General features: G+C 33.1%; 1 long non-coding RNA gene across 2 annotated transcripts in view; it reads left to right on the top strand.

Moving 5' to 3' along the window:
* The window catches only part of LOC105370214 (uncharacterized), a 477,307-nt gene that overhangs the window by 394,367 nt on the left and 59,831 nt on the right, over window positions 1–23,109 (top strand). For both annotated transcript variants that reach the window (XR_941977.3, XR_941978.2), the window contains exon 3: window positions 5,663–5,719. This is a non-coding gene — a long non-coding RNA (uncharacterized LOC105370214). The remainder of the gene's footprint in view (window positions 1–5,662; window positions 5,720–23,109) is intronic.

The following is a 23,109-nucleotide window of genomic DNA, read 5'->3' as shown; positions in this document are numbered from 1 at the left end:
CCTTGCTTCTCCTTTACCTTTGCCATGATTATAAGATTCCTGAAGTCTCCCCAGTGATGCTGAACTGTGAGTCAATTAAACCTCTTTCCTTTATAAATTACCCAATCTTGGGCAGTTCTTTATAGCAGTATGAAAATGAACTAACACATCTTTTATGTTCCATTGGTCTCTGTGTCTGTTTTTCTAACAGTACCATGAGGTTTTGGTTACTGTAACCTGATAGTATAAAGTTGAGTAATATGATGCCTCTGGCTTTATTTATTTTGCTTAGGATTGCTTTGGTTATTGAGGATCTTTTTGGTTCTGTATAAGTTTTAGAATAGGTTTTATGGTAATTCTGTGAAAATGTATTTGGCAGTTTGATAGAAATAGCATTGAATCTACAGATTGCTTTGGGAAGTATGGACATTTTAACAATATTGATTATTCCTGTCCATGAATATAGAATGCCTTTTAAATCATTTATGTCATCTATGTTTTCTTTTAGCAGTGTTTAGCAGTTCTCCTTGTAGAGATCTTTTACCTCCTTGGTAAGATGTATTCCTGGGATTTGTGTGTGTGTGTGTGTCTATTGCAAATGGACTTATTTTCTTGATTTTACTCTCATCTTAAACATGACTGGTGCATATAAATGCTACTAATTTTCATAAATTGATTTTTTATTCTGAAACTTTACTAACGTCATTGATCAATTCCTGAAGCCTGTTGGCAGAGTCTTTAGTGTTTTCCAGGTATAAAATCACATTGTTAGCGAAGAGAGATGGTTTGACTTCTTCTTTTCCTATGTGGCTGCCTTTTACTTCTTTCTCTTTCCTGATTGCTCTGGCTAGGACTTCCAGTACCATGCTGAATAGGAGTGGTGTGAAGGTTGTCTTTAGTTTTTCCATCTCTCTCAGGAATGTAATAATTCATAGATTAGGTTTATTTACATAGTTCCATATTTCTCACTTTGTTCATTTTTAAAAATTATTATTTTTTCTTTATTTTTGTCTGACTGAGTTAGTTTGAAAGACTTGTCTTCAAGCTCTGAAATTCTTTCTTCTGCTTGATGAAATGTATTGATAAAATACTCAATTGTATTATGAAATTTCTTAACTGAGGTTTTCAATTCCAGAAGCTCTATAGATTTTTTTTAAAATAATGATTAACTCTTTCTTCATTTCCTGAATTACTTCAGAAGTTTATTGGTGTTTACATTGAACCTTGTTTGGGATCTTCTTGGCCTTCCTTGCAATCCATCCTTTAAATTATTTATCTGTCATTTCTGAGTTTCCATTTTGGCTAGGTGTCTTTGCTGGAAAGCTAATGTAATTCTTCAGTAGTGTCACTACATTTATATTTTTCAGGTGCCAGAATTTTTGTGCTGGTCCCTTCTCATCTGGAGATGCTGACACTTCTACTATTTGTAATTTTTTTTTATGTGAATCGGACTTTTTTCATTTTCTTTCTTTCTCTATAATATTATTGTTTCCCCTTTCCTCTTTCCTCCCTCCCTAGCAGATACAATTCTAGAGAATGTTGGAGAGGGTCTTTTGGCTTTGTTTCTATAGCCCTATACACTCTGTCAGCAGATTTTATATTGGACTGTGTGGTTTTACCTACAAGCTGGTAGATAATGATTATGGGTAAGAGTCAGCTAAGGCCAACACAGCTAAGTGTTCACTTACTCCTTATTTACTGGGAGAAGCTCTCTATTGTCTCAGGCAATGGGCTGACCCATATGTCACACAGGTGTCTAAGCTTTCTGCTCAGCCCCAGAGTGTGGTGGGTGCAATATGGGAAAATCTGGACTGGGTAGCCCTGCCTACAGGTCCCCTGATGGCAGGCACAGGTAAAGAGCAGAGGGAGAACCCAGTGAGAATCCACCAAACACCCAAAGGTGTGACTAGGTGTGGAGCTGGGAAACCTCCTTGGCCCCAAGATTTCTGCATGGAGATGGGGAGGCAGCCTAAACTCCTAAACCAGGAGAAGGGATGCCCCAGATGCCTAGAGATATGACTAGGCATGAAATGGATAGGGCCCCCTTTCACTAGGATCCATGCACAGGAAAGGTGGGGTAACTCAGGCTGTTGATTCAGGCATGGGGGTGCTTTGAATGTTGAGAGTTCTGCCAGGGCATGCAGGACCGAGAGTCCTGCCGTTCTACAATCTAGGTAAGCAGGCTGTGCCACCCAGCAAAACACATACAGACTGGTTCCAGCTCACCATGCTGGCCTTGGCTACAAGTCATCCCGTAGAAGCCACGGTTGTAGTAGCTTTCCTCCTACCACCGTCTTGTGATGGGGAAGAGCACAATTCCAGTGCCTATTGTTGAGGCACTTTCCACATTTCTGGCTTTGGTGTTCCCTACCTTGCTCTAAAGCAAGTGTTCCAATTTCAGACATGAGAACAAAATGCCTTTGTATTTATGCTGCCAGGTAACCAAATAACAACTTGCCTTATATGTGCCTGAATTAAAAATGGTGTCCTTTTCTTTGTCCTGGGTCAGGGAAAATGTCTGCAGGTTTTCCCATTATTTTCCCTCTCAGTGTCTCCAAGCCATTCCCCAAGTTAGCTGAAGGGCTTAGAAGAAACAAAGCACTCTTCCTAGAGCAGCCCTAGTGGAAAAGTGAGTAACAGAGGGGGACTGTCTGCCTTTCTCACATACTGGGGCTTCACTCACTTTTATCAGCCAGATCACACCATGTGGGCTGTTTGCCCACATTCTCCTATCAGGGATTTGGAGTATCCATGGTTTTGGTGGATTCCTGTTTTCCTTCTTGAAATGCTTATGGACTTAATCTTTATATATATCTTGCTATTTCCAAGCGGCTAAGGCACACTAAAAGCCTCTAATCTGCCATCTTGGGGGAAAAAAAAACTATTCTTTAGTTTTATGTGTCTTTTCTTTTATTAATAAAATATTCTCATGAATACTATAGCTTTATAGAAAGTTTTGAACTTGGGGATGTCAGGACTCTAACTTTGTTCTTCTCTGTCATTGTGTAGGCTATTCTAGGTTTTTTGCCTTTCCACACAAACTTTAGAAACATTTTTTCAATATTAATAAAATGCTTACTTGAATTTTGACTTGTGTTGATAAATATAGGAAGAGTATACATCCTAAATATATTGAATTTTTTATCCATGTCACAAAACATGCCTCCATTTATGTAAATATTTAGTTTCTTGTACCAAAGTTTAGTAGTTTTCCATATTTAGATCTTGTGCATATTTGGTTAGAATTACATCTAAGTATTTCCCTTTTATGGTGGCATCATGAATAGTGCTATATTTTTTATTTCAAATTCCAATGGTTCATTGCTGGTGCATGGAAAATCAATGGGCTATTGTGTACTACCCTGTGTTCTATAACTTTGCTGTAATTGCTGATTGGTTCCAGCAGACTTTTATTCATTCCTTTGCTATTGTTTACATGTCTTTGGGAGGAAGGTTTTGTCAATTTTGAGAGATTTTCTACACAGGTGCTCATGTCATCTATGGAAAGGACAGTTGTATTTCTTTCTTTCCTACTCACACACTGTTTTCCTATATTGTCTTATTGCACTGTCTAGGAATTTCAATACACTATTGAATAGTGGTTAGTGAGAGGGACATCTGTTTTTTGTTCCTGATCTTAGGATAGAGTCTAATTTCACACCATTAAGTATGATGTTACCTGTAAGTTTCTTGTATATTTTTATCAACTTCTCTATTATTAGATTTCTGAAAGCTGTTCCCATTTTGGATTTTGTTGAATGCTTTTCCTCCACTTGATGTGATAATATAGCTTTTTTGTGTTTACTCTTTGATCAGATGGATTATATAAATTGATTTTCAAATGTCAATTTAGCCTTGCATATCTACAAGGAATCTCAATGGCCATGGTGTGTAATTCTTTTGAAACACTTTGATTCAATTAGCTAATACATTCTTGAAGATTTTTGCACTTGTGTTCATTAGAAACATTGGTCTATAGTTTCCTTTCAATGTCTTTTTCTGTTTTTCATATTAAGGTATTGATGGCTTTATAGGATTAGTGAAGAAGTGTTTCCTCTACTTGTATTTTCTGGAATAGTTTGGAGAGAGTTTCTATTTTCTCTTTAATAGTTTTATAGAATTCACTGGTGAAATTATCTGGGCTTGGTGATTTATTTTTGTTAGGTTTTTAATTATTGTTTCAGTGTAATTAACGTGATAGGCCTAGTAAGATTGGTAGTACTCGTGTGTTAGTTTTGGCAATATACTTCCTTTAATGTATCTCTCAATTTCATCAAAATTATCAAATTTGAGCCAGGCATGGTATTTCATGCCTGATATCCTAGAACTTAGGGAAGCAGAAGTGTGAGGATAGTTTGAGCCCAGGAGTTTGAGACCAGCCTGGGCAACATAGCAAGACTCTGTTCTCCCAAAAAAGAAAAAATAATAATCTTTCAATTTGTAGGTATAGAGTTGTTCAGTGTATTTCTTTATTATCTTATTAATATTCATGGGGATTAGTAATGATGACCCCTTTTTCAATTTTTTTTTATTGGTAATTTGTTGGTTCTCTTATCTTTTACTTTTCTTTTTTAATCTGGCTGGTGATATGTCAGGTTTATTGATCTTTCTAAAGAAACAGGTTTTAGTTTCATTGATGTTCTCTAGTGTTTTCCAGGTTTTAATTTCATTTATAGTAGCTGTGCATTTTATTATAACTCTCTTCTCCCTACTTTTGGCTTAAATTTTATTTATTTCGCTAGTGCTTTAACACTCCAACTTAGATTATTGATTTCATATTCTCCTACTTTTATAATATGTAAATATATATATGGTTTAATTATTTAGCTGCATCAAACAAATTTTCATAAAATATATTTTTAGTTTTAATCTATTATAATTCATCTTATGTTTTGACTATGTGTTATATAGAACTATGTTATTTCATCATCAAATATTTTGTGATTGTGCATCTACCACTTTGTTATTTACTCCTAGTTTAATTCCACTGTAGCCAACCATACTTCATATATTTTCTATGACTTTAGATTTGGTAAGGTATATTTTATGACCCAGAGGAGATTCTCAATGAATGTTTCATGTGAGCATGAGAAGAATGTGTATTTTGTTATTGTTGGATGGAGTAAGCGATAGTACTATTCAGGTTAATTACATACTTACTGAGTTTTGCCTGTTTGATCTTCATTTACTAAAAAAAAAAAAAGGTGTTTAACCTTTCAGCTATAAAAATGGATTTTTCTGTTTCACTTTGCATTTCTGTTTATTGCCTCATGTGTTTTGATGATGTAATGTTAATGCATACATATTAAAAATTGTTATGTCATCTTACAGAATTACTTCCCTTATCATTAGCTAATGCTTCTCTTGACACTAATAATTTCCTTGTTGTCATGATTTATCTGAAATTTAGATAGCTACTCCAACTTTTTTTAATTTAAAAAAAACTATTGTTACTTTGTCATATCTTTCTTCACTCTTTTGCTTTAAATTTGTGTCTTTACAATAGCGTATAGTTGTGTCTTTTATTTTTTAAAATCACTGTGGCTGTGTCTTTTATTAGTGAATTCAGACTATGTATAACAGTGATACTTATTAGTACTTTTGAATTAACATAGGCCATGCTTATAACTTTTTTTCTATTAATTACACTTTTCTTTGTTTCGCTTCTCCCTTTCCCCTGTAGGTGGAATAGGAAGACGAAGGCTGGAGTTGGATAATGATCCTTCTATTATGAGCTTTGGTAAGGTCATTTTCTGGAGAGTAGGCTTTTGTTATAAATAGTTCACTGTATTATTTCAAAATGATTACATTTTTCCCTCCCCTTGCTGAAGAAATGAAGCATCTTTTTCTTGGCTCTTCATGAGAACATGATGTGGTTCCTGGAGGGGAAACACATGACAGTGTATGAAACCTACCTCAGTCTATGATCTTAGGAAACTCTTTCTTACCTAGCTAATTAGACTCTACCATTGGTCAAACTTACCATTTTAGTATTTCCACAAATTTACAAACATGACAAGTTCTGCTCCAGGTAAGCTGACCTCAGCAGTGTTTTTCTGTACTTGTCTCTTTCTCCAATATTTGGAGTTGCAGTTCTCCCTGTGACCTCAGTTTTCAGTTTGCTTAGTTTGTTTGTTTTTCTTATTATTTATTTACTGTTATTATTATTATTATTTTTTATGGAAAACATGGCATAAATAACTGTTTTGGAAAGTAGTCCACTAATAATACTTTGGGGACTAAAGCTACTGTTGTGGTAAATTTTTCTTAAATTCTCAATTTTTGAACCAGTCCTGAGTGTCCAGTTAAACATATGTGTTTTAAATTATTTTATTTTAATTAGATACTTTTAATAAAAAAATAGAATGCAGACTATTTACTAAAATAAAGAGTGGTACAGGTTACTTTAGGGATGCATATGCACTGTGATCCAGGAAACTCCAATTAACAATATAGCCTTGGTGATATAAGATGCAGTGTTGTAAGAACAGGTTAAAAAAAAAAAAGCAGTTAAGATAGTGTATCTAGAGAATGACATAAAATAGGGACGCAGAATATCTACTGAGTGATTCATGATTTATGTAGCCTGAACACAATCAGTATTCTTCTTCCTGCTCTGAAACTGGATTTCTCTTTGTTCAACCTGATTTTGAAAGAGTGAAAATGGCATTTTAGAATTTATTTCAATGCTGAAATACATTGAAATGTAATATATTACATGCAATACATTGAAATGTAATGTAGGTATTTATGAAACTACAGTCATAACAAAATCTCTAAATAATAATTATGTTTAGACTTATATTTCCAGCCAAACATACACTTAAAAAAAAACCCTAAAACGATCACCTCTTTAAAGATTAAGAAGATTATGGTATTTTTAATTTAACATAATTTGATATAAAAAGCTTCTTAAGAGGAGAAATTGTGTCTTATCATTTGTCATTATTAAGCAACATAATGAGATAAAAATATAATTATTTAATATACATAAATAAAGATTCTTAGCCAATGCATATATTCTCTTGATGCTACGTGGTTTCTTAGATCTACCATTTGCCCACAGAGGCAGGACTAATTCCTAAATGGACTAAGTTACATATTGTCTTTACTTGCTTGAGTCTATTTGTTTGGCATTTCAATTTATTATAATAGGGAAAAAGTGAAATTTTCTTTCATAATTTTTAGTGTCTTTACCTTTTGGTGCATATGGTCTAGCTTTTATAAATTTGGTCTGTTTTTATAATTAGAATTTTGGTAAACATTGTATGAAATTTTCCTTAAGAAATCCAAGTGTTGGTTTATAAAAATGACTAGAATATGAGTTTAAAGTGGCTCTTTTTCCTTCTTCATATGGGATAGTCATAATTCGTATTAGTAAAACTCAATTGCACATTTTCTTCAAAAATGAGGCAATTCTTCTAATTCAAATGAACATACACGTTTAAATACAGTAGCTGCTCTTGAGAATGTGTGTCAGTGAGCTCAGTAATTCACCATTGGTGAAAAGTGATCTGTACTAAAAAAAAAAAAAAATGAGCATCCAAATTCATAGAGCCTATCAAGAAATTCAGAAAGCCTATCAACAAGAATAATGCACATACCTTTCCAACACTGTATGAAGTGAGAGGACGTGAGACAAGGTCATTCTTAAGCAACAAATTCTGAAGACAGAGCAAAGTGTTATGCATATCAAGCAGGTTGTGAGGTCAAGGTGCAGAAAATATCACAACATAAGTTAATGCCTGTGAATGACACCCTGAAAACAACTTTTAAAAGCAGCCCTGACAGCTAGAGCATCTGCAGAAATTACCTCCACATTAAACGTTACTTGGTGCTCCAGAACGGGCCTCTTGCTAAGGAATATATTTGACAGGTATACAAAATAAATGTAAATTGTTAAAAAAGGCTATTTTTGTCTGTTTATTTTAAAATATAACTGCGTTTTTAATTTTTTTATTTTAAAAAGCAGTAAAATATTTACATTACAGATAATCTGACAATACATTTCTAAATTCATAATTTTCGAACTATCAAACTATTTTATTGAGAAATGTAGGGGGGTGAATACTAAAAATAAGCTGTGCCTTTATTTGGAGTTCCATTAACAATTTAATGTTTAAGAGAACCAAGAAGACAGAGATCAAAGGTAAAGTGGAGAGGTGAACTTAAAGTTAAATATACAAAAATAAATATGAAGAAAAAGAAAGAAGCTTTATAGAGAGGACTAAAAGTTCTGTGATGGAATATTTCTAAATTTTGAAATTTTTGACTTCAAGAGAGATGACAGTCTATATAAACAGAATTATTTCCCTAAGGTTTGGGGAATGGTCATGTGACAGTAAACCTCCTGATGGGCAATGGGTTCTTTCATTTTCTTTGACTCTTCCTGTTACCATACTTGCTTCTCCTTTTCCAGCCATTGCATTTTCCTAAGTTCCCCTCATAAGCCTGTCATTTTATTGCATCATTTCCTTAGATTTATCTCAATTTCTCAATGTCTTTCTCTTTACTCTGAATGCTTTTATCTCTCCAACTTGTATTACTCTGGTATACACATTATTCAATAGAGGTTTCTTAGCTATCATCATATAAAATAAAAAATTAAAACATATCAATCATTCATTGTGAATCAAGGGACAAGATGAATGTATTATCTGCTTTACCATATATTGTTTTTAAAACAGCTTTTTCATAACAATAAGTTGAATATCATTATTTTCATTTTAATGAAGAGTGAAGCTAGGATCAGGAAGATAATTGACGTGTTTGAATGTCAGTAACAACAAAGCTTGAGAGTTTCAACTGATAAAAGGTAGATTCTGGGCTCATTCTATAAGGTCTGCAGTCTAGATCTTTCAGTGGAACTGAAATTTCTCAGGCAGCACTTCCTAGCTTAGATTAGTTACTTTCTCTAGCCTCACAAGTGTCTTTTCTAATATTTTAAAGAATGTTACATCACTATTTCCACACGGAAAATATTTAGAGAGCCCAAGGGAAACTTTAAAAGTCTTGGCAATGATTTTGAGGTATAGAATGTCTTAATTCCTATAAATAAACATGTCTCCCAAGCAAAAACAACAATGATGATATTTAAAATATTTTAGTGACATTGCTACTGCAAATAATAGGTCACAGTACACAGTATTATTCCAGAAAAGTAAAGTAGGTGAGCGCAATAAATTTTAAAAAGAAAATAACATCACTTTCTAGTTTTAACTTTGTTGTCCAGAATCAGGACGTGTGGACTGGAAACTCAAGTGGGAAGAATTGCCCATGACCATTCCCAAAACTTTAAGGAAATAATTCTGTCCATATAGACTGTCATCTCTCTTGAAGTCAAAAAGGCTCTTATTTTCTTTCAAAATTTAGAAATACTCTATCACAGCACTTTTAGTCCACTGGTCCTCCCTAAAGCTTCTTTCTTTTTCTTCATATTTATTTTTGTGTATCTAACTTTAAGTTCACCTCTCCATATTACCTTTCGTCTCTGTCTTCATGGTTCTCTATAACCTCATGACGATTCTGTATCATCTATTTATCTTTCACTCCACGTGAAGTCACAAATCACCTATGTAACCAAGCTGGTCATGATTACTTGTATTCATCTTTGACAAACATTCTCATTTTGCTTGATGCAGCAAAAGCATTTCAGGAACAGATATTCTTTAGAGACTGTGGTATTTGGTATTTGAAGACGATATGTTATTTGTGTTGATTTTTCATGCATCCATGTACTAAGAAAGTCCTGTGCCCATAAAGGAAAATATGTCTGTTATTTTTGTTTGCAAATTGATGAATTCATCCATCACACTATGTCTTAAGTAATGTTGTGATTTTCTCAAGCTTTCAGTAATATGCTGAGCTTATCCAATACCTACAAGCGATGCCTGGTTGTCTTTCACCGCAGTCATGTTTAGTTTCTAGCATGCAGCTGCACCGGAAGGTGGCAAAACATCTAGAGATTTAAACATGGTTTGGTATCTGGAAGAGGGCATGGTACATGTTTATATATGCATTTAAATTTATTTCTCTGTAGAAACAGATGAAAATATTTATTTTTGGTAAATTAAATATGAAAATGAAATTACCTGTTTGATAATAAAAGCATCTTATTCTCTTCTAGATCATACTATATTGAAATATTATGTATACTTAATATCACAGGTGTTGTGTTATTGGGACTATGCTGAGAATTTTATACCCATTTTGGGGATACAACATAACTGAGATTGAATCAAATCAGCCATAGAATAGTACGTGTGACCCTATCTTTAAATTAATTAAGTGATTACATCTCCATTACCCATTTCAGAAGCGCTGGGGGGCAACATCAAATAGTCATTAGTAAACACCATGAAAACGTACTTCCCTAGATTGGTGATCAGCGATCTCTAGTGTGTGTGTGTGTGTGTGTGTGTGTGTGTGTGTGTGTGTGATGTATTAGAACTGGAGATGTGGCTATTCTAAGGTAAGGTCAAACTTCTGTTAATTTATTCATTAATTTAGTTATTTGTTGACATGAAAAATGTACGTATTAAGTATCTTAGTGCCAGACATTTTGTAAAGCATAAGAATACAGTAGTGAATGAGAAAGAAATGACATTTCTCAGCATGATTCTTTCAGTTCAGCAGATGACTTCCCAGAAAGAGAATTATACTACTGACTGGTAAAGCTTTGTTTATTAAGCCCATTTTTTAAAATAAATAAAATAGAGAAATAAGAGGATATTTGGCCAGAAGAATGTATTTCTCTGCAGTGTGTTTTCCTTAACTCTGACTGAACCACCAAAAAGAAGTGTTGCAATAGTTTTACCAAGATTAAAGATTGCTGATTGGGCCATATTTTCTATAGGATAAGCATAGAAGGATGTAGATAAATTATAATTTATATAGGGCCTTGGGTAGTCAAATGCCTTTCCTGCTCCAAAAGATTCTCTGCTAACTTCTATTTTTTATTTACATTTCTTTTTTTTCCATATGATCTTTAAGCTCTTTGAGAGTAAGGGCTATTGCATGTCCAGTGTGGATGCAATACTATCAGTAATAAGTATCTGTGTAACAAATGAATAATCACTGTCCAAAAAGACAGGACAGATTGTGAGCACAGAGGAAGGATTTGCATCTGAGGTAAGCTAAAATAAGTCAAACCCTTAACAATCATGTTGATCCAAAGAGCTTGAGACAAATAGGAACGCAGAACCAACCTACAATAAGTGAGATTAAAGCAAAGGGAGTGTGGCAGACTGAGCCTAGAAAAAGCAGCATCTGAAATATAGCCACAGCACCGTTTTTGTTTTTTTTTTTATGAGCTTGCAATCTCAACTGTAGGCAGGGATAAAACTCATGTATAACAAGCCAACTTGGACAGATGTTCAGAAGACACCATTGATTAAAGGGTACTTGTTTAGCTGAAAAGTTAATTCACTTTGATAGATGAGTACTTCACTGCAAATGAAAATTCCATCTTGCTTTATATTAACACCTTCCATAGATAATTTGAAACTAACTGAATTTGATCTTATTATTTTTTCTGAGATATTTTAAGCAATTCATAAAGCAATTTTAATTTTAAATGCTATTTTCCTTGAAAAGGAAAAATAAAATTAATGAGCACACGTTTTCTGTATTTTAGAAAAGTGAAATAATTCTGATTTATCTCTCTAAATTTTATGTTCTAGTTCTTCAGGAAATACATCCAATACAAGCACAAACATATGCAAATATTGACCAGTCGATGACTATTGCAGTTCTCAAAAATGATATAATGCTCAGGATATCTAGCAATTTCTTTACCTTTTTATTAAATATATGAATTCTGTTGTGCAAATGTAAGATGGGATTTGGACCATAGTTTTACCATAAGTTAGAATCTGGAACATAATTATCAATCTTAAAGATAAATTTTAAATTGCATTTTTTTATTTTATCATTGTAAAAAGTAGTTATTAGTGCCAGAAGATAGAAGCTGTAACGGATGAATAGCTTTTTATAAATCAGATAAAAATGCAGTAAAATATAATAAAATATATAAATATGTAATCTGAGTCATGAAGTTGTATAATATTAAACCCAAAATTAATATTCAGATAATTTATCTAATTTTGGGGAGTATATAAATATAATATTGTGGTGCTAAAGTTGTATTTTTAATTGTTGTCAACTAATTTTTTAATAAAACCATAATAGGTATTTCAACAACAAATTTACCAGTTAAGATAGATACTTTGTCATGCAAATAATAGAATTCTTAAGAATTCAGAAAGAACCTAAGTAGTTTTTTCCATTTACATACAAAATATCACAAATTGCAGGTTTCTTTCTTTCATTTTCCTTTCTTTTACTTTTTTAAATATGATATCCAGAAGAAGTGCTAGGGCACTGCCCATTGAAATCAAAGGTGCTGGATGCTTTACTACATCGTTCAGATCTCTATTCTGCATTAGGGACTTGTCCCCACAAATGCTGGAAGTTCTGCCAGCAGATGGATCTCATCTATTAGTCCTCTCTAGTTATTTCCTACACAGAAGACAGCTGCTTTGCCCGATTCACGTCTCCTTCATAAGGTGGCCCTACCACAAATTACTGATCAAGGCAAGGGTAAAAAGGCCTACCCTTCTCCCCAACTCTGAACAGCCTAGAGGGATCATCTAGCTCTAGTGGCTACAGTGGAATGAACTAAGGCCTTTGATAGAACTGCCTTGTAGCCAGAGCTCTCCTTTTGCCCAGCCCTGTTTCTTTCCCCTCATTTTCACAAGTTTTGATCACTAGGCATCACCTTAATAAATGTTGTACACTCTGATCTCACTCTTGGGGTTGTCTTCCCAGAGAACTTAAGCTGTGATATCAGAAATTCCTTACAAATATAATATATTTTATTATATAAAACCCATGATCCCAACAAGTTCCTCTTCATCAAAGTTTGTACATTCCCTACAATTCCCACATAACCTACACATCTTCAACCCCTCAAACACTTTCACGGAATCCATTGTAACTCATGAACTATTGGAAGCAAATTTCTTTTTATATCTGCAACATAGGCATAGATGCTAGGCATCTGCTTTTTAGGGTTGCCTAAAAGGCAACCCTTTCTCAGTGATAAATTAACTCCTAAGAGTCTGGAGCAGAGATTCCACTGAGCTAGAATGTTGGATAGTGGGGTTTTATAAAAATGGTATGTCTCTCAGATACCTAGCTAGATTTGCCTAATAGCAAGCACATGTGTGGTATTGTAAATTATGGTGTATTGTTATGAAGCTTTACAAAAAATAATTTGGCTCTGAACAGCACTCAGAATGCTTATATTTATTATATAATGTTTGTTATTGCACAGCCATGTGCATGCACAGTAAGAAAAAGATTTACTAAGGCTGCAGAAGCTTTCATTGTATCTTGTCATCATTCCTCTCTTTTATGTTGCTTACAGTTCATGGCACAACATTATAAAAACTGTCCTGAATATGTTCTTAATATCCAGTCCCCTCTATCATTTCTCACACAACCCTAGTTAAATCCTACTCTCTCTGAAACTGCACCAAAGCAGTTAAGTGAGATTGTAGAAAACAGTAAAAGCATGCTGACTGGAACTCAAATTTGTGTCTTCTAATAAAGTCCTGTGTGGGGGACAATGATATCTCATTTCCTTAGATTATTCTTGTTCTATATGAGATTTTACACTTCCTCCTTCTTCAAGCCCCCGGCATTCTGCCACATTTTAACTTTCTGATAATATCCATATGCTTTCACCCCCACATCTACAAACAAATTTCTTACCCACATAACCCACCTTCTGCCCACCTGTCAACTGAGTCCTGTTTCCTGTCACGTACTAACATTCAGGTCCAAAAGTTATATCTTCTCTCACCTGAGATATCAAGTCCTTCCTCTCATAGAATCATTCATCATAAAACGTTCCGTAATGTCACACCATGTTGTAAAACTCTCTTGATTCTATGTACCTCTCTAGCCTCATCTCTCTGCTCCCCATAGAAAACAAGACAATTTAAAGTTTGTTATAATTGTTCCCTTCACTTCTATTTCCAAAATTCCATCTTGAAACCAAAGTTCAACCATTTCTTCCTTTGTGTTTTACCAGGCCTCTAGAGCAGCACGTGTTCTTGCCATAATCTATAATGAAATGATACATTGCAGAGAGACAAATTTTCTCATGTATCTGAATCTCCTTTCCTGGTGCTTCCTCATCTCTTAATCTCTATACTCTGGAGTGTCCTGGGTCTTGGACCTCTTCTCTCATCTATCTATGCTCAGTCAAGCTCAAGGTTTTAAAAGTTTTCTATAAACTGTTAGCTCCCAAATTTATATCTTGAGGCCCTATTTTTCCTGGACTCCAAATTTGTATATCTTACTTCCTCATTTGCATATCCAATTGGATGACTTAAAAGTCAGTACATTATAACCAAATTTGAAGTGCTGATTTCCACCCTCCTATAGGCAATAGACTTGCTCCTTCTGTTGTATTATCCACTTCAATAAACATAAACTCTGTTCTTTATTTGCTCAGGATAAATTTCTGCAATCATCTTTGATTCCTTATACTCCACATCTATTAAACAAGTAAATTACTTGAGTTTTATTTTCAACACATTTCCAGGGTTTGATGCCTTCTTACCTCCTCCATTATTTTCGGACTCCTGCATTATTGTAATTGACTCATAAATGGTCTCTCTGCTAGAACTTTTACTTCTGTGATTTACTTCTAATTATTCACCACACAGCAGCTGAGGCCTTCCATTAAAAACAATCAAGGAAAACAATTTCACCCTTCCATTTCGTGTCTTCCAATGGCTTTTTATTGTACTTGGAATAATGTCTAACTATCAGCATTAATATAGAACTATCACTAATGTCTAAATAGCACCAGTTTTAGCAGAGTCTCTTCTCCCTCTTATTCTGTCAATTTCCTCATTCTGTGAGCTCCATGTCACTGGCCTTCTTACAGGTACCAGGAAACACCACACACTGTCTATCTCAGAGTCCTTGCCTTGGCTCTCATCTTGGCAGAAATTCCACTTCACAAATACCTGCAGATTTGCTTATTTACTCCAGGCCTCTGCTCAGATATCTTCCCAAGCATCTCCCAAATATGCCACCATCCCCATTGCTGGGTGGGAATTCCACAGCCCCACCCCCATTTTACAGATGTACTTTTTCCTATAGCACTTACAGATTCACATATGTAAATGATTGCTTACTGGATTGTGTCTGCTTCCCTCCTTTGGAATATAAACTCTGGGAAGACAGAGGATATTTTTTGTTTCATTTTCTTTCCATTGAGTTTCCAATGTCTGGAACAGTGCCTGACCCATAGTTTCCACTCAATAATTACTTGTAAATAGACACACATTCATTTTGACTCTACTTGAGTAGATATTTTTTAGATATTTTTTCCAATTACATCATTCTGTAAGAAAAGTTATAAAATTGCCTCCACTGATGTTTTCGACCAGTTCTGCAATCCATGAGGTTTATTGGTTCTACTGCAGGAATAAATTCCAAACTGAGGGCGCGAATATGTATTGAGCACCAACAATATGACATGCATAATGTTTGGTATTTTTAAAATGTGCTTCTCTTAATCCCTACAACAATGTTATGCATTTAGATATCTATCTCATTTACAGAGAAAGGTGATGATGTTTTTTGATGATAAGCAGCACTCATATAAAAATACATCTCTCTCAATTTGAAGTCTTTTATCTTCTTGTGATGCCTTGTTGAATCATGCAACTCTATGTGCCAAAAAATTCTATTCAAGAAAAATTTATTTTAGGAATTCCTTATCAAAGCAACTCTACTGATGTGGACAACAAACCATTTACTGATAGAAGTGAATGTATCATACAGCTGTAAATCATATTGTAGTAGCTATATTAAACTGAATTAATTGCCAATATGTTCTTCCCAAATTTACTGTGTCTGTCATAAAGAAGTAAGTCCTATAAAACTTCAGCATTACTTCTATTATTAAATTTACTTTAGTTATATTGTTTTCTGAGCTTTAATATAGATATATCAACCTTGGCATTTGAAAAAAGAGATTACACATTTTAGAGTATTTGAACCCTCAAGAAATGTCAAAGTTTTAAAAATTTTTTTGGCAGTTTGTTTTTAAAATTCTCTTACATTCTCATTCTGTTTCCAGTATTTTAAAGGTAAGTATTACTCATTTTTTTCAAAGTTTATTTGTTATTCTCTTCTAATAAATTAAGCATATGATTTGCTTTTTCTTCTTTATATTTCTAACCTCTGTAACTTCTCTTTTAAAACAATTTTGCTATCTTAATTGGTGTTGGCAAAACTTCCAATTTGATATCAGCTACAAATTTCATTTACATACTGTTTTCTCCATCTTCCAGATCATTAATTAAGTTGTTAAATAAGATCAGCCCTCACACTGATCCCTGTGGCACTCCATTAAATACTCTGACATTTTGTTTGTTATACTTCAGTCAGTTTTATATCCACAAGGCTCTGCTTTTATCCAAGTCAATTTGAATTTTTTATCACTATTCCATGACACTTATGAAATATTTTATTTGCTATTTTTAAGTAGATATATTCCACATCCTTGACATTATTGCCTTCTCTGCAATGATTCTGTGATGAAAGTAGCCTGGGAGTTGTCTTTTTATTGTGGCTTTTAAATTATGATTGCTCAAATAAAAAAAAACTTAGATATTTTATCTTACTCTGTCTTTAATTATGACTGATTTAACTACCGAATTCAGTCTTTTTTTTTTTTCTGGAACCTGTATATTTTTAATTCTGGTTTATCTCTAATTCTACATTACTTTTCAAAAAACACTTAATTGATGCAACCTTTTCATTGATAATTTTGTTCATACTGAAACAGTCATAATATCTAGAATCACTGGAGGAAGTTTCATCATGTCACCCTTTTGTGTTGAATTTATTACTTTTTCACATTTCTGTTATTCTTTATATTTCAAATCAAATATTTGCTAATTTATCAGAAAACATGCCATTCATTGTTAATCAAAACTATTTTATATTCATTTTGCATAGATTTTATATGGTTCTTAGTGTAGATTTAACAATTTTAGTTAAGACTTGGTGGAATTCCTGTGAGATCTTAAATTATGCATGGAGCATCTTTATTTGGAGATTGCTCTTACAGTATGTAATAATACATCACACCATCATTTCCCAAATTTTAGACCTATTTGTACATTTTCAATCTTAATAATAGGATAAGTGTATCCCTTGTAAAGCAGTTTAGATAAGCGGTATTATAAATTATGCAATCTTTTTGAAAGCTACTTCTTTTACTTAACTTAATACTTTTGAGGTTTGCTCCTTCTTTTCCCTCATTTTTTTAACTTTTATTTTAAGTTCAGGGTTACATGTGCAGGTTTTTTACATAGGTAAACTGTGTCATGAGGGTTTGTTGTACAGATTATCTCACCACCCGGGTATTGAGCCTAATACCCATTAGTTATTTTTCCTGATCCTCTCTCTCTCCCCACTCTCCACCCTCCAAATGTACCCAGTGTGTGTTGTTCCCCTGTACACATCCATGTGTTCTCATCATTTGGCTCTCACTTATAAGTGAGAACATGGGGTACCTGGTTTTCTGCTCCTGCATTAATTTGCTAAGGATAATGGCAAAGGCTCATTTAGAAAGACAGAAAATAAATTAATGGATGTCTAGGGCCTAGGTGATTGTGAGGAGTGAATGCAAACAAGATAGAATTTACTCTGAAATGATGGAAATATTTTAAAGTTAGATTATGAATATCAATATGTAATTCTGTAAAAATACTAAAAAGCATTAATACTGTACACTTAAAATGTCATAACATTATATAAATCATATCCCATTAAAGCCTATGAAACATAAACATGTCAAGAAAAAAGAGTTTAGATAAATTTATTTCTTCAATATCATCAAAAATGCATTGGCTCTCATTTGACATGCATTTCTCTTAGAATAGTCTATTGTTAAATATAAATAAGAAACAAGAGTTAATTTATAATAAAACTTTTATTTTTTTATTTTGGTTACACCATTTCTTCTAGCTTAAAGACTTATGGGCTACAAAATATATTGTAACAATTCATAATGCAATTATACTAAATCTGCTGTTTCAAAAAGTGCGCCGAGCACTGAATATTCCAAAATAAATGAGACACAACTTAATCTTTGACAGAAGACAGTGCTGGAGATCACTTATCAAAGATAATATGAAGGAGAGAAAAAATGAACTGAACCTTGGTTTTTATAGAACAGATCCCAAAGGAAAAATAAGTCAATTTGACTAGTAGAAACTTTCAAAGTCTCAGAAGTTACAGGACTAAGGTATTAGGAAAGGAAAGAAAATAAGAAAATCATCACTGGTATTAGTTAGGCCTCTAAGTCTTTTCCCTCCACTTTCAAGCTCTAATTTCTACCCTTTAGTGATAAACATCTATTTTCTGGAACACTTTTCAGTTAGATTTCTTCAGGTAAAGAAAACAAGTGTGTGTGGGAGACACAGACTTGAAGAACTGGAAATTTAAGTGAAAAATAATTTCACTCTGAACAATGGATAACCAAGCTTCCTCTTTTTGCTCATTTTTCAAAATGTCCCTACTCAGACCTTAAGTTGAAGGATTTGGAGGATTTTTTCCTGGAGGATAATGAACTGCTCTCAAGAAAAGACTTCTATACTGATATATGTGGGTTGCACTTATGACATAAGCTATTGACTAGTCATCATTTATAGCTCATTAAAATAGTTCAGTCATTGAAAAACCCTAAGCATTAAAATTCTAAATAAATATGATTGAAAAGCCAATAGTGGACACATGAAGAACTTCTCCGATAGTAAAGAAAAAACAAAACAAACTATTAAAAATCAGAAGACTGATAAAACAGAAATAGAAGGAAATAGGAGAAAAAAATTGTTAGAAACTATGTTTTATATATTAGAAATGTAATAGAAAATGTTTATTTAGAATAAATAATTGGAAGAAATTAAAAATGTAGAAAAAGAATGGGCCATCCCATTACTGGGTATATACCTAAATGAATATAAATTGTTCTATTATAAAGACGCATGCATGCATATGTTCACTGCAGCACTATTACAATAGCAAAGACATGGAATCAACCCAAATGCCCCTCAATGTTAGACTAGATAAAGAAAATGTGGTACATATGCATTATGATATGCCATGCAGCCATAAAAAAGAATGAGATCATGTCCTTTTCATGGACACAAATGGAGCTGGAGGCCATTATCCTTAGCAAACTAACACAGGAACAGAAAACCAAACACCTCATGTTCTCACTTATAAGTGGGAGCTAAAGATGAGAACACATGGAGGGGAACAACATACACTGGGGACTTTCAGAGGCTGGAGGGTGAAGGGTGGGAGGAGGGAGAGGATCAGGAAAAATAACTAATGGGTACGAGACTTAATACCTCGGTGATAAAATAATCTGTAAAACAAAGTCCCATGATACAAATTTACCTATATAACAAACCTGCACATGTACCCCTGAACTTAAAATAAAAGTTAAATTATTTTTAAAAAACAGAATGGTAGGAATTAAAGCAATACAACGTTCAATGAATAAAACTCAGTATTTTCCAAAATTTAAAATAAAGCAAAAGGCAAAAATAATAAAAATTGAGAGAAGCAATGAGATGGGAATGACTTCTAGAATCAAATAATAACAATGAATGAAAGAAGGAAGAGAAAATGTCTGGTAGATACCTTTAATTAAAACAAACATTCAGAAAATTTTCTAGGACTGAAGAATTTGACTTTTCTAGTTATCCAATGAGTGCCAATCTCAATGTACAATAATGGTAATACAAAGTTATTAGTATTCAATTTCCAGACATAAGAGTTAGCAAATGTCTTAAAGCTTTTAAAGAGAAACAAAACAAAATTTATATTATATACAAATTGTTGAAAATCATACTTTCTTGAGTTTTCCAAACACAGTATTGAATTGTGATATAACAAGATTAAATAATGCAAAATACAATAGTTGGTGAAAGATTGAAAACATTTCCTACATAAAATTCTTTATTTTACTTTACTTGTTTCTAGAGCTGCATAACCAAGCTGCAAATTTGGTTGTTTTAAACAACAAAAATGCATTCTTCATAATTATGGAGGCCAGGAGTCCAAAAGCAAGGTGGGAAGGACGTGCTCCCTTCCATGGCTTTAGGGGAGAATCCTTCCTTGTCTCTTCTGGTTTATGGCGGCTTCACATGTTTCTTGGCTTCAGGCTGCATGACTTTAATCTTTATACTTCATCTCCACGTGACCTTATCCCATTTATGTTTGAATCTCAAATCTCCCTACGTTTTTTTCTCACAAGAACACTGGTCATTATATTTGGAAACCATATTAAACCCTGGATGACATCTTCTGGAAATCTTTAATGTAATTTAAATATGCAAAGACTTGTTTCTTGAATAATGTCACATTTACAGATTATGGGGGTTAGGCACAGACATATCTTTTTGAGGCTGGTATTCAACCCATTAACCATATCAACTATTAACCAGGTGAATATATAAAATTAAGGTAAAATACTAGAAAATTGATCTCCCACGCGCTCTTTCTTGGAATCTAATGCAATCTGTGCCTTACCAAACAATGAATTGACCAGGAACTAGTATCACAAGTAACCAGTGAACAAGAGTTCTGACAGAGGAGCTTACAAAGTAGAAGTCTCCCAAATGAAAGGACCGTTTCATGTCATTAGCAGTGCATCAGGCCAGAGTCCAAATTAAGCAGAAAATAATAAGAATTCAAGAGGGAGGACTCTAAGACAAAAAAAGAAGTATAATTTACACAGTTAAGCATTTTGAAAATATTGGCATGTATTTAGCAGATCTGGTGAAACAGCTGAAATAGTAATGTAACTTTTATAAACTAAGTTAATACATGCAAGGAAAATATTAAGTTTAGGAAAAAATAAAGACATATGCAATGAAAGAAACAATATATGACATGCTTTAGCTCAGAAGTGAACTATAATTATATGACAAGATACACATTGATTGTATATTTAATTAACAATTGTGATGAATCTCATTGAAAAAAAGGAAAAAAAAAGAAGTGGTTTTAAAAATTGTTAACAGAAAAGATGTAAAGCTTCCTCTATGATACAGGATGTTACTAGATAATGTTAAAGTTGATAAAGGGCAAAATAACAGTATTTCATGTTATAAGGGAGGGTGGAAAAGAAAGGAACAGGTTAGAGTTCCACCTTTTGTCATCAAAAGTGATTTTATTAAGTATAATTTTTAAACTATGTTCATATATACCTTTAATTATAATTTTAAAATTTAATGTTATTGGACTGAATGACCTTATTGGATATCTGTGTAAACACTGTCATTTGAAGTTAGAGTATTTTGAGGTTTATAAATCACATAATTTGGCATTTTTAAAAAAAACTGAAAAAAGTGCAGATATCAATAACCCCACTTTCATGCTAAAGATATTTGAAAAATAGTGGTATTTCAAAGACATATGCTTAATAAATGGCAATATGATATTTCAGTCTGATTTTCTGTTATCTAATATTGTTCATTTTCTAGTATGATTCACTCTAATCAATGTTGAACAATACTTTCTTTCATTGAAATTTTTATGTTAAACAAAATATAACATTGTTATTTTTTATGAAAATTTTACAAAAGTTACCTGAAATGTTTCTAAATTTTTCCTCTGTCCCCTTTGTATGATTTTTTCCTGTATACCCATTAAATTTGGCATATCATAGTTGTTTCTTCCCTAGCTATTCTTGGAATCACAGGGCAACCAAATGTAATTAGGCAACCTGAACCAAATTGTACCCATAAAAGTAAAGCTTAAGTTTTCAAATCCTGAATTCATCATCTGAAAATGATTGCCTTAGGATATTTATACCAAGTATTGTCTCATCAGCATTCAGCACCACTGACAAATCATAAAAGAGGGAAGAAACTACAGACGCACAAGAACAGATGAAAAAAAGACTTGCAAACAGAAAATCAACACCCACCATGCTTCAAGGACCCTGGCTGCAAAAACATTGTTCTTTCATTTTAATGGAGCTCTCCATTTTCAAATCTATCTTGAGACAAGCAAATTGCATGCCTGTTTTGTCTGGTCTGCATAATAAGTATCCCTGCACACAACTGTATACATACAGCTTAAAGGAGGGTTTTCTTGGTTCTTTTTTGTTTTGTTTCTTCTTTAAATGCCCTATTTTGAAACATGACTTAGGATAGTATTTGTGTTTTTTTTCTCTTGAGTAATCCCTGTTAAATATCAATAAATACATTATAAATATCACCCAAAACTCCACATCAGTAATTTCGTTATATTATTTTTTCTTCTCATTCATTTCCTAAGAGAAATAAACTAGTCATTTTACTAGAATAAAATAAAATAGTATAATTTATTTTAAATCAGTATTCTATCTGACATCCATATTTAGTGAAAAGTAAAAACTGCAGAGGGAATAATTATTTAAGTGTTTCATAGAACTCTTTTAAAGACATCAGATATAGACAAAAAATTGATGTTGGAATAAAGGATATGAAAGCCACAGAGAATCATGTTTATGTTAGAATAAAATCTTGATTGCTGTTGTGATTAAAAGATCAGAGAACATGTAAGTGAATTTTAAATATATAGGTATATAAAATTCTGTATAACATCCAAGTATATTGCTTTACTTTCATTAAATTAAATTGGATGAGGAGCTAAATATATGTCATATGTGAGAAGAGAACTAAGAGCTTTTTTGTTGTTATAATCTTATTATTTTTAGTCTAGTTTTCAGAAAACTTTAAGCCTAGCCAGTATATCCCATTTAAACCATACTAAATCTAGAATTAGAAAATTATGATATTTAGAAAAGAGATCCTTATTTCATTTGTCTTGAATATTTTGGAAGTTGCATTAGTGATCTGTTGCTGCTAAACAAGTTAGTCCAAATTTCCTCCTTAAAATGATAAATATTTATTGTTCCAGTTTCTATGAGAGATGTAAGAGCATCTTAGCTGCATGATTCCAGAGCAGGGTCTCTCATAAGATTATAGTCAAGCTGTGGAACAGGGATGCAGTTATCTCAAACCTCTAATTAGG

The sequence above is a fragment of the Homo sapiens genome, chromosome 13 (assembly GCF_000001405.40).
Source record: "Homo sapiens chromosome 13, GRCh38.p14 Primary Assembly".
Taxonomy (NCBI): domain Eukaryota; kingdom Metazoa; phylum Chordata; class Mammalia; order Primates; family Hominidae; genus Homo; species Homo sapiens.
The sequence above is the reverse complement of the archived record's forward strand: the minus strand, read 5'-3'. Positions and strand labels throughout refer to the sequence as shown.